At 39.6% G+C, this 13,419-nt stretch overlaps 1 protein-coding gene across 16 annotated transcripts in view, besides 1 other annotated feature; it reads right to left on the bottom strand.

Moving 5' to 3' along the window:
- The window catches only part of RNF217 (ring finger protein 217), a 130,198-nt gene that overhangs the window by 112,597 nt on the left and 4,182 nt on the right, over nt 1–13,419 (bottom strand). For 5 of the 16 annotated variants that reach the window (NR_136734.1, XM_047418245.1, XM_047418246.1 and 2 more), the window contains exon 2: nt 8,440–8,560. The exons of 9 other annotated variants lie outside the window; for them this stretch is intronic. Coding sequence is in view for 5 of the 7 variants with exons in the window: in XM_047418245.1 (XP_047274201.1) it covers nt 8,440–8,560 (121 nt within the window). In the remaining 2 variants the exon portion in view is untranslated. Of the gene's footprint in view, nt 1–8,439; nt 8,561–10,281; nt 13,327–13,419 lie in introns of those variants that run through there. 2 more of the 16 variants (XR_007059212.1, XM_011535499.4) reach the window with 2 other exon arrangements.
- Nucleotides 1,188–1,388: a silencer, noted in NCBI's record as "peak6102 fragment used in MPRA reporter construct". NCBI's record gives its function as "represses an SCP1 promoter by STARR-seq MPRAs in K562 erythroleukemia cells {active_cell/tissue: K562}" and the evidence as "EXISTENCE:reporter gene assay evidence [ECO:0000049][PMID:32103011]".

Genomic DNA, 13,419 nt, shown 5'->3' with positions numbered 1-13,419 from the left:
TACACAGACTTGTAAAACCTAGCATGTCTCAATAGAAAGGCTGCAAGGACGTTCTGCTATACTAAAGACAATGCACTTCCAACACTTTTTAAAGGCAAAGATCCAGTAAGTGACAGGACATGAGACAGAGCCATCTCCACCACTTGTACACTAGTGCAAACCACTGTCACCTCTGACTACTGCAATTGCCTCCTAACCCATTTCCCTGCTTCTACTCTTGCCAACTCAACCCTTAAACACAATTCATTCTCCACACAGAAGCTAGAATCTTCTTAAAGCACTAATTGTCATGTTACAGCTCAAGCAAACTGTCCGAAGATTTACCATCATAGTTGAAATAAAGTATAATTTCCATGGAGGATCTATACTATCTGACCCTATTACCTTTGTAAGTCATCTCTTTCAGATTCCCCTCTGCTCTCTGTGCTGCTGCAACCTCATTGCCTCCTTCAGTTCTCAAAACATGCCATGCCTATGCCCACCCCAGGCTTTGCACACTTGCTCAGGTCCTTCTGCCTTTGGTGCTCTGCGCCACGCTGGTATCTTTGTTCTGCTGACTCTTGCTGTCACCATTCCGCTCTCATCTCTCTACCTGTATTTGCCACACTGCCTTTCTAAACCCCTTTCCAGTCATGGTCACTTGCACACCCTATTTCCACATGCTTGCTCACTTAGAGAGCTGCCCACGCCTAACTCCTTTCTCCTACCCTCCCTGTGCAGCAACAACCATTTTTCAGACAATAGCCAAGTTCTAACTTTTTCTACTCCTACAAAGACAGCTTTCTCTTCCTAGAACACCTTAAGTCAACAATCAGCATCACACAATTGATAATAACAAGAGACAGACAAATTTGTAGGCAGACAGGGTCAGGTCCTTGGTGAAACCCGACCTTCAAGCCAAGACAGCCTGAAGCCTGAAAACGAAACTGCCAGCTCTGGATAGAGTCAATGACCAGAGTGAGAACTTCTATCACCATCTTACACTCTCTCTCTCTATTGGTTTCTTCTGGATGATACCTGTTAGCCAATCAAATGGTGCTTTTTCCAAAGACCACCCATGGACCAATCAGCTTGCATTCCCCCATTCCAAGCCCATAAAAACCTTGGACTCAGCCACACAGGCAGAAAGGGGATCTGCTTTCAGGGTGCCCTGTCCGCTGACAGCTTTGCTTCTGTTGCTCAATAAAATTATTCTCTGCCTTACTCACTCTCTGGTGTCCATGTGTCCACGTACCTTATTCCTCTTGGTCAGGGGACAACAGCCCAGACTTGCCAAGCTGTGGGCAGTGAGAACAAATGAGCTGTAACCCTCTCATTCACTGAGCTGCAGGCACCAGGAATGAATGATCTGTAACCCTCCCTTCTGCCCACTGAGCTGTGGGCGACGAGAATAAAGGAGCTGCAGCACACTCCCGCTTGTCAGACTATGGGAAAAAGAAAGCTGTAACACGTTCCCACTCACTGAGCTATGGGATTGAAGAGCTGTAACATTTCTTGGGGACTCAGACCTTGGGACTCCACAAGCGAGAACTGTAACCCCCCTTGGGGCTCCACGACTGCTGGCATCTCTGAGTTATCAGGCACCACCGCATTCCCCTCATCTAGTTGCTGGCACCCAAGGTGGAAGCCGCTCACAGCATGCCTGGTTGATCCATGGGCTGAGCGCAGAGCCACGGTGGGCACAGGATCTGGTCTGGGGCACAAGCGGAATGCAGCCTGCCGGGCTAAGCAGGTGGAGCAAGCCCAGAAGTCCCTGAGCGAGGTCCAGGCAGAGGCAGCAGTGGCCAAAGAGATTTCTGACTGGTGAAGCAGCACAGAAGGAATCCTGTAACACAATTTATTCATATACATGGCCCCATATTTGCCTGGAGAGCTTTATTTTAACCTACTAAAGCTCTAAAGTTTCTAAGAAGCTGGACCATGGACTATTCTATAGGGACACATTGTTTATCTTTATCATAATGATTAGCATGGTGCTAAGCAAATATTTTGTGCTCAGTATTTTTTTAATGTTTGTATCATTTTATCTTTAACAGAATAAGAATACGCCAGCTCTCCTCCCTTTTGATTTTCTTAAACCAACTGTATACTAGAGAACAGATCTACCAAGGTTTGACCACAGTAAAAAGAAGGAAAGTCTTAGCCAGTGGAAGAAAAGATTTCTCTATGTAAAATCTCTGCAACTCCCTAATAACCTGAACATGTGCTTCAATTTGTTTTTTCAGAAGAGGTGATGAGATTAACAGTAATTCCTCCATCTTGTCTCAGTCACAGTCTTATGACCAGAAGCAGACACTTTATGATATGACTGTGCACGGTTAAGGGTAATTTATGGCCACAGGTCAGCATGTTGTTAATGAGGCTGTGAGGAGACTGCCTGCTTGACCTTGACCTCCTTACCACCCTAAGCAAACCAACAGAGCTCTGTCAAATCCATTTAGATTGTAATAAGCCAAAAGCATATTAGAACAGAGCAATCTAAATGCTCCCATGATTTTTTCAGCATCTTAATTTTAATACATGAATTAATGATATAAAACATTTTGCTGACACCAGTAATTGTGAAAGCATTGTTTTAGAACTGGCTTCATTATTTTATAATCTTTGTTCAGCATTTAGTGATCCTAAGCTTCAAAGGTCCATGTTCAATTTATTTTAATACTTTGTTTTAACAATTATTGTAACTGAAAAGACACCTCATACAGGCAAAGAGATGCACAAGTATGCACTGTTGCTTGTGCTTTCTAAATCATTATACTTACTTTGGTGTCTCATCTGTCAAGTATGCAAAGGTTGTGGCTGAAATTCAGCTAGTACATTTGTACTTTCCCTGATGTTAATCTGGCAACTAGTCAGAAAGTGTTAATGTTTTATATTATTTTTAAAAAGAGTTAATAACTCCCTCTGAAGCTCTTCATTTGGATGATTTTTAAGTAGGATGGAAAATTCTGATTCCAAGTTTTTAGTTTGTAGATATACTAGTGATTTTAAAGAGAAAAGCATGTATGAACAGTTTGTTTTAACAAATCTTGAGAACAAACAAAAAAACGAGCAAAGTATCAGGAAAAAATTACTATCCTTTCAGGGTTTTCCTGCTTAGCATTCCTTCTAAGCTTTCCCTTCATCTCGAAGGAAAAGCCTCCATGAGTCAAAAGGTGATATAATAAAAACTAAGAACAAAAGAAAGGTAAACCCAAGGGTTATCTATTCTGGTTGATTTAAGCTACACCTGAGGCCAGATACATTGGCTCACACCTGTAATCCCAGCACTTTGGGAGGCCCAGGCAGGTGGATCACTTGAGGCCAGGAGTTCAAAACCAGCCTGGTCAACATGGTGAAACCCCATCTCTAGAAAAAGCACACACAAAAAATTAGCTGGGTGTGGTGGCACACACCTGTAGTCCCAGCTACTCGGGAGGCTGAGGCAAGAGAATCACTATGAAGAATCTATCTAAAAAAATAAATAAATAGGCCAAGCGTGGTGGCTCACACCTATAATCCCAGCACTTTGGGAGGCCGAGGCAGGTGGATCTTGAGGTCAGGAGTTTGAGAGCAGCCTGGCCAACATAGTGAAACCCCATCTCTACTAAAAATACAAAAAATTAGCTGGGCATGGTGGCACACACCTGTGATCCCAGCTACTCAGGAGGCTGAGGCAGGAGAATTGCTTGAACCCAGGAGGTGGAAGTTGCAGTGAGCCAAGATTACACCACTGCACTCCAGCCCAGGTGACAGGGAGGAAGGGAGGAAAGGAGAGAGAGCGGGAGGGAGGGAGGGAGGGAGGGAGTGAGGGAGGGAAGAAACTACGCCGGTAATACATGAACTTAACTGGAAATGACTAGGCTTAGATTTGTAAAAATTAAGATCAACAAATATTCCCCTTGTGACACAAAAATAACCATGAGAACTTGACAAACAGTATGTATACATATGTCTATGTATACATATATACACACATACACATATACCATATAAGTTTAACATAAAGCACCAACACTTGAAGACACATGGAATATACTTCTTTCTTTAATTTTAGGAGCCTATTGTTTTCAAAGTGTTTGTTTTAAAAAATATCTTGAGGAAGAAAAATGATAACATAGGAAAAATATTTTTTAAAAATCTTGAGGTGGAAAAATGATAACAGGAAAATTAAAACACTGAAGTTAAGAGTAAAACTAGTTAAAAGTAGGATTAAATGAGAATTTTGGGATTGCCCCTATTGTTTTCCACCAAGAGCATCTCTGGCAAGAGAATCAAAGTCACTTTTCCCACTTTGGTTATATATTCATATGAAAAAACTGGACTGATTGCAGTGGCTCACACTTGTAACCCCAGCACTTCGGGAGGCCCAGGTGGTTAGATCGCTTGAGCCCAGGAGTATAAGACCAGCCTGGGCAACATGGCAGAACTCTATCTCTACTAAAAACAAACAAAAAATAATTAGCCAGGCATGGTGGTGCACGCCTATAGTCCCAGCTATTCGAGAGGCTGAGGTGGGAGGATTGCTTAAGCCTGGGAGTTAGAGGCTGCAGTGAACCATGATTGAGCCACTGCACTCCTGCCCAGGCAACAGAGTGAGACACTGTCTCAATGAATGAATGAATAATTCATTAATTAATTACTTTCAAAAAGATGGGCTACAATCTGGCCATATCAGAGTCACCTGTGATTTCACCCAATAGCTCTACTTAGACGAACATAAATTAATAATACGCTAAACTCTAAACATTAGGAAAAATGGCTTACAAGCAATTGTTTCATTTTTCCTGCTGTTTTAAATTGTTAAGCAACCGGGGGAAAAGCTGTGGTGATTAAACTTGCCACATACAACTCAGAGCTCATGAGTTTCATGAATACTGAGTGTGGCCAATAATCATGTGAGTAAATAAAGCAAGAATCAATACCACAAAAAGGGAAGCAATTTGCCAGGTAGCCTATAATTAGCTTTTGAATCTTACAGTAGAGAATATTATTGAGGCAAATAGCTTAGAAAGATTTAAAAAGGGATTAGTCATTCACATGAATGAAAAAGCCCAGAATTTAGTTACCTGAGCCAGGGGGCAAAGGTGGAGTGGGGCAAACATAATAAAAGCAATATGCCTCTTCTGTTCCAGGGAATACAGATCTCTAACAGGAAGAAACTCGAGGACAACATCTATGCTTCTGGAAACATAAACAGCTATCTATTCAAGAAGATACGAATCACACGATAACATCACCCACACAAACTAGAATACCACAAACAAACTGTAGGCCAATTTCACAAAGATTGACCAGGATGGTTAATTCTGCAGTGTCATTAGATACAACACTATTTCTATACAGAATATATCTAGACTACAAAAATAATCTGTTACATGAACTCCTTTCATTAACAAAGATATTCCTAAGTTTTTCAAATATTTTAACTACAGCTGAAGCTGTAATTTTGATATACTCTAATGGAAAGGAAATTATGCTATACAGAATAATATTAAGTGTTGTTAATCAGAATTATTGGAAGCTGACCCTGACACCTTGACGTATTTCAATTACAGTGGAACTACCTAAAATATTTAATTTTATAAGATAATAGCTTTCACTAAGTTTTCTTTAAAACTACATGAATCTGTATTATTAAATTATTTAAAGATAAAGCACAAAAAACACACCACCAAAGTTATTTACCAATAGAATGATATGAATTGGAAATATTTAATTAAATGATTGAAAAGACAAAATTTTTTAAAAAAATTAAAATTCAGGCTCGAAAGCTAATTCACCACATTCTTGATTTTTCTCTTAAGTAGTGGAGGTTTTAAAATATGGCCCCAAATTCTCTGACACTTGCCCAAAATAAGTTGAGGTCAATGTCCCTTCCCCTTGAATCTGGGCAGGCTTATGACTGCCTCACCAAAGTTATGCTGAGGGCCTTCCAAACTTAGGGCAGAAAATGTCATGCAGCTTCCACATCCCTTGGGATGCTGGCTCCGGGGGAGGCCAGCCTGCAAATAAGAAGCTCTGAGACTGCCATGTTGTCAAGGCCATGTGGGGGCACTCGGTAGACAGCCATAGCTGAGCTCACTGACAACGGCCGGCATCAGCTGCCAGCCAAGTGAGTGACCTGACATCTGACTACAACCAAATGAGAAACCCCGAAAGTGAACTGACTGGCTGAGGCCTTCCCAAATTCCTGACCCACAATGTCATCATCAAAATAAAATCGTTCTTTTTTTTTATGTTCCTAGGTTCTGGAAGAATCTGTTAAACAGGAGACAGTAACCAGAACAGGTATTGTAATTAAAGAAGACACACCTCAGTGATAGATGGGATGCTAGCATAAAGACTCAGGCCACAGTAGTTCACTGGATTGATGCAAGTCATTGGGGTTTCTGCCATTACTTTTGCACCAATCTAAATAAATGAATTGTGGAATAAGATGTCAAAAGTTCCGATTCAAATAGTTACCTTACTTTTTATAGCAAACATATTATAATTTATTTTCAATCATTCATTCAGGCTTTAACAAATATTTATTGAGCACCTATTCTCTTCTGGGCTTTGTGCCAGGTGCTAGTTATGAAAGTAGCTCAAAGAATAATGGGGGAGAACCAAGGTAATAAACATCAAATTATCACATACCATATAATTAATAAAAAGAGGTAAATACAGTGGTGGCAGAGTGAAAAGGACTCTAAGAACCTTAACAGCAGGACTAACTCAGGTGGTGATATAAGGAAGACTGAGTCAGTGAAGCGAAATTAACCATGAGAAGAACACTCTATGGCTTGAAGGAGGAGAGCTGGAGTGATAGAAGAAGGGACTGAAGAGGATGCAGAGGCCAAATCTTATCCACAGTGTTATGAGCTGGGATCTCTATGTGAAGCAATGAGGAGGTCTTACAGGTTTTTAAACAAGAAAATGAAATACTGAAATTTTCATTTAAAAATATCACTTTGCCTATCTATTCAAATAGTTTACATATTGACGATATTAGCTCCTACTGTATTAATTATTTGTGGAATAAACTTAAACATCCACTCTACTTATAGAGTATATATAACACACAAAGTGTTAGGAAATTAGTAAAAAACAGATTAATAATGTCTTTACATGCATCAAGCTTTGTAGTCTAATGGAAGCACAGAGCAGGAAACAGACAATTTAAATACAGTGAAACAAGAATAATTGTATAGAAGATTCCTATATAGTTTGATAACCTTAAGTAAAGAGGGTTATCAAAGAATATAGGAAGGATGCTTAATCTAGATATAGGGGGTCAAGAAGATTCTCCCAGAAGAATGTCTAAGCTGAACTAGAAGAATGGGTGTGAATGGGGCAAAGAGAGTTAGGGCAGCAAGGAAAGAAAGAGGATTCCCCTAAGACAGAACTTCATATCACTAAAGGTAAAGGCTCATAATTCAGAGTCACGGAGCATTCAAAGAAGAAAAAAATTTAATATCTCTATAGGTGTAGTGGGACAGTTGAGAAAGAAAGCTCAGACGGACACACAGGAGTCAGAATGCACAGGGACATGAGATACCGTTATAAAGTTTAAATTCTAATCTATTAGCAAGAAGCAGGTGTTGAAAGGCTAAGAAGGAGAGTGCCAAGACTGGTCCAGCATTTTATAAAGAACCCTCTGGCATATGTGTGGAGAGTAAGTTGGAGAGAGCCAAGAGAGCATCACTGGGACCAAGTAGGAAGCTCTTGTAAGAATCCAGGAGAGAAATGGTAGAGGCCTGAGAGAGGGAAATGACAGCAGAAATAGAATCAGTAGAGAAGAATACAGATATATTTTAAAGATGAAGAATTGAAAGGACCTGGTGATTAATTAGATGTGGGAGATAAGGGAGAAGAATAGCTCAATGATGACCCCCCAGGTTTCTGACCTGAGTACAATGAATGGAAACAGGGAATCTCAAAAAAGAAGCAAGGCTTTGAGCATGTGGCAAACAAGGGGAGGAAAGGGGGATTTAGTTTTGAGAAGTTAAGTTTAAGGTGGCTATGTATGGGACATCCACTACAATTGTTCAGGAGAGAGATGGCTATATGACACTTGACTGGGGATACAGATAAAGATTTGGGAATCAACAACAGGTAGGTGTTACTTGAAACCATGAGAGTGGGTAAGATGGCCCCACTAACAGTATACAAAGTGAGAAGAGAAGAGGTTTAGCTCAGGACTACACAGACACCAACATTAAGAGATGGTAAAATACAAGAAAGTTCTGACAAAAGGAATGACCAGAAACTTAGGAAGAAAACAGGAGAGTATGTTGCCATTAAAACTTAACAGTAAATCGGCCGGGTGCCGTGGCTCACGCCTGTAATCTCAGCACTTCGGGAGGCCGAGGCAGGAGGATCACCAGGTCAAGAGATCAAGACCATCCTGGCCAACATGGTGAAACCCCATCTCTACTAAAAATACAAAAATTAGCTGAGCATGGTGGCACGCACCTGTAGTCCCAACTACTCGGAAGGCTGAGGCAGGAGAATCGCTTGAACCTGGGATGTGGAGGTTTCCGTGAGCCGAGATCATGCCACTGCACTCCAGCCTGGTGACAGAGTGAGACTCCGTCTCAAAACAAACAAACAAACAAAAAAAAACTTAACAGTAAATCAAATCAAATCATAGCTTTCCTAAGCCAAATTCCTCTTGATTTCCTTACAAGTAGATGAGGCTGAGTTTGGCTGTAATCTCTAGACCTAAGTTTGAGTGGCAGCCTTTCGCTTCCTCAAAACATGTAATTAAGTGTCTTCTCCTTCTTGGATTGGAAGACTTGTGCTTTTTGTACAATATATGTATCAACTTAAAAGAAAAAGAAAAATATAAGTTTACCTTATAAATGAAATAATCAATTTAAAGAATGTACAAAAGCCATAGGTTTTAGAGCCAAACATCTGAATTTCACTTCCACCTTTGCCATTCCCTTGCTTTGAGATTTTGGGCAAGTTATTTAATCTCTCTAACCTCGAGTTCCCTCATATAACATTCTACTACCTGCAGTACAAAAACAGAATTGTTCCTGTTCTTTTGAACCCACTCTAACCTGAAAACCATCCCATGGCTGCCAATGAAAACAGCACTGCTCACAGTTACCAATAAACTCCTTGTTGGGAAATCTGATGGTCAATTTCAAACCTCATCCTGCTGGAACTATCAGAAGCATTAGACACATGTGATTATCCCTTTTAAAACACTGTCTTTGGCTTCTGGGTAAGTACTCTCAGTACTCTTCTTGCCGAATTAGCCCACTCCCTTTTAGACTCTTTGCTTCTTCTTTCTGATGTCCCAGACTCCATATTTGTGAACATTGGTATGCTCGGACTCAGTCTCCAATCCTTCTTCTCTAGCTACTGACACTCCCTCCACAGGTGACTTCATCCAGTCTAATAGCTTTAAATACCATCTATATGCCATCCACGTTCAAATTTATATCTTCTGCTCAGATCTCTCTTCTGAATGCCAGACGCCAACTGCCTACTCAACATCCCTTCATGAATGTCTAAAAGGCACATCAAATTTCTCATTCTCCCTAAACCTAGTCCTCCTACACTATTCCTCATCTTATTAAACGGCAACCCCAGTTTTCTAATTGCTTGAGCTCAGAACCTGACTCATGCTTGACTCTTTTTCTCTCATCCCATGTGCAATCATTGGCATTCTGTCAGTTCTAACTTCACAATATATTCCAAATTCAACCAGTTCAAACTGCGTTCGCCTGTATCACTCTAGTCTGAACTGTATTGTCTCTCCTTTGATTTATTCCATAGTCTTCTAACTGATCTTTTTACTTCCACTCTTGACTCCTACAGTATATTTTCCACAAAGAGATGGAGTAATCTCTTTTAAAGGGAAAGGCATATCTGGTTAGTCTGTTGCTCAGTATCTTCTTACAACATTTTACTTTAGGGAAATGAAGATACCTGATGGGCTTAATCCCTGCCCGACCAGCTTTCCCCACTCCTCCTGCTGTCTTCTTTTTAGCACTACCCACTTCATTCTCTATGCTTCAGCCTCACAGATCTCCTTGCGATTCCTGGAAACTCACACGTATGCTTCTATCTTTGGAACTTTACACCTTATTATTCTATTAGATATCCTCATGGTTTGTTCCTTCATTGGCATCATGAAGATCTCTTCTCAAAAATCCCTTCGTAAAACATATCCTCCATGACAACCCCCCCAAAACTATAGATTTATCAAGGAAAATCCCTCCCCAGTATCACTCTTCCCTTATTTCTCCTTCTCCATTGCCCTTATTATCTTCTAATAAGCTAAATAATTTACTTATCTCATTTTCCATTTCCACAGCCTAGCATATAATTCCATGAAGTCAGGAGCTTTAAATGTTTTAGTCTCTTGTATCCCCAGAGCCTAAAACAGTGCCTTGTATGTAATAAGTATTTAATACATAAGTAAATTAGAATTAAATAAAAATACATGTAAGAATGTTTACAAGATAGATGTCCAATAAATGGTCTTTCTTACTATTTGTAAAAACTTGCAAATTCAAGTGCAGTTATCCCAAAATTGGTGGGGCAAATAGTAGTGATAAAGTTGATAGAGAACGATATAAACTAGAAGTCATTCTCCCATACACATTGAATTTTTAAAGCAAAAATTCAATTTGGGAAGGTTCATTTTGCTTATAATGTAAAACCCTTCTGACAAACTGAATTTGAAAAAAATAAACATTTTTAAGTATGTCATGAATGATCCAAAACAAACTGAGCAAAATTGTGTTTTCTTTATATAAAGGCAGAAAATATTTTGAAATGAACAAAATATGTATATCTTTGTATTTACTAATATATTTCCAGCAATCAAACATAGCTGAGAAATATTTATATTAAGAAATAAGTAATAGATTTATAACTTTGGATTAAACATAACAGAAGGAATAGTAAATGAGATTAATAAAAAGTTAGCTGGTGTCCCAGAACTGGCTTAATAAAAATCTCCCAGAGAGAAAGCAGATCCATAGCTGTCTAGTAACTTTTTTAAAAAAAAGCTTATTTATGCCATCAGATAAAGCTGGGGAAAATACTGCCAACAAGGCTATAAGATGGTTCCTTTAGGACATTTAATACATTTATAGAGTATCTCATGGTGCTTATCATACAGGTACCCCAATAAATGTTTGTTAAATGCACAAATAGTGCACTGATAAATGAATAATTATAAGAAATTACCGCTCAGGTATGCCTACTTTGTCCATCACAAACCCTTAATAAAAAGCTGAGGGTTTAAATTCTAATGATCTCTTTTTTATGTCTTTTGTATCAGGAGTTAAGGAAGAGCCTTCAGGTATAAAAGCTCTAGGAGGGAAAAATCACACTCTAAAGGTATCAGCTGATGCCTTAGGTCAGCAGTACTTGTAATGTTATTTGAGATATTTTAGGCAGTGGAACTCAATGCAAGGTTTCTCTATGTAGCCTCATCTCCAGACAGCTGGAAGGGACAGGAAATACCCATGCAGCATGCCTCGGAAAAAGTCCTGCTGGCCCCAGGGCTTAGCACTTGACAGAGGATTCCTCTAGAGAAATCAAATGCCAATTAAAATCAGATTTCAAAAAGTAAAAGAACAAGGAAAAGAAAAAAGAAAAATTATTAAAGAGAAATGATGTAGAGAGTGGAGGAAAATAATGGAATGAGTAAGGCATGAAAGCAAATGTTACTGCACCCCCAGACACACACGCACGCACACACACACACACATACATTTTGCACACAGAAGGATAAGTTTAAATATGCCTTAATTCCCACTTTTCAAATTTTTAGAGTGACCTCAAAACAGATTTCAGTCTCATATTATTCTTCACATTTTCAGGACTACCAAAACCACACCGGGCATGACAGGTTCTATAAATTCACCTGTGTGAAGACAACTGCATTCAAACTCAACACTGAACACAATGGTTTCCAAAAATATGCAGGGTGCTTTAAGGTTTAAAAGAAATGAATTTATGGGGCCAGGCACGGTGGCTCATGCCTGTAATCCCCCAGCACTTTGGGAGTGCGAGGCGGGTGGACCATCTGAGGTCAGGAGTTCGAGACCAGCCTGGCCAACATGGTGAAACCCCGTCTCTACTAAAAATACAAAAAATTAGCTTGGCTTGATGGCATGCACCTGTAATCCCAGCTACTCAGGAGGCTGAAGCAGGAGAATCGCTTGAACCCGGGAGGCAAAGGTTGCAGTGAGCCAAGATGAAGCCATTGCACTCCAGCCTGGGCGACAAGAGGGAGATTCTCTCAAAGAAAAAAAAAAATTTATGTTATGTTACACTTTTACCCATGAAGATTTGGATGACTCATAATTTAATAATAGGATATATAAGCTTTCACCTCTGGGTCACTGACTCTAGGGTGACTACAGTAGACAGTCATTTTAGGACTTTATCATCTAGCAGCTGTTTTGTTCACAATCTGTAGAAGAAATGTGTTGCTTGTATCTATTAATACTCATTGGACAGGTGTATACATTCCAAGTTATATGCATCTGCCAATCTCTAGCACTTTTAGGCAGAGTGGTGGAATCCACAACAGCTGTCACCTTCAGCAAGCCCCTTTGGCATCCTCATGTCTCTTCCTTTCTTCATCTAAAGTACTAAATATTAATATTTCATATTTATGACAGATTTTTCTGTCTAAACCAAATCATAAAAGAAAAATATTGGTGGAAGATTTCTGAAATGAACATAGTACCATTCTGTGAAACAAAGAAGGCAACAGATAATATTTCCTCCTAGGAAAATGTGGTAAAGGCCAAGTCAGCTGAGAAGGCCAATACTTAGGAGGGTTAAGGGATGTGCAGGATATTGCAGACATCCCTGGGACTACGTACTTTAGCCATATTCACACACGCATACACAGGTCACTGGGAAATGTACTTCTGAAATGAATGTTCCAGATTTATGTACACGAGCAATATAATATGAATAATATAACTATCTCTGCCTTGGATTTAGAGCTCTAAATCAACATATACTGTGGTGCTAAAGATTCATAATCTGTCAGCTCACCTCTTCACCGTGGCGATCAGAAACTGGATGGCAGCTACTGCACTGTAAAGTTATTCCACTAAGATGGGCTGCCTAGCCACAGTCATGGCAATAACTGGAGAAGAACTATGTTTTGAAAAACAAAACTATAATTTTATACAGAGCATAGAGGTATTTAAGTCACCATCTAATTTGCTATGTCTATATTGAAATATTGATGACACCTACCAATTGGCCTTTGTCACAGATTAGTCCATGGCACTGCTGAAAACATACTGTCTAAAAATCCATATTCCTATCTTCCAAGTTGACATCTTCTTTCAAAGAACTGTGCATCTCCTTTTACAAAAATATTCAGTTAACCAGGCAATAGTCCAACTCACATTTAATATGCAATTTAATGTTGGCATAAAATGTTTAATAGGGACTCTT

This window comes from Homo sapiens, chromosome 6 (genome assembly GCF_000001405.40).
Source record: "Homo sapiens chromosome 6, GRCh38.p14 Primary Assembly".
In the NCBI taxonomy this organism is placed as follows: Eukaryota; Metazoa; Chordata; class Mammalia; order Primates; family Hominidae; genus Homo; species Homo sapiens.
Note: the sequence above shows the minus strand (reverse complement) of the source record. Positions and strands in the feature narration are given on the sequence as shown.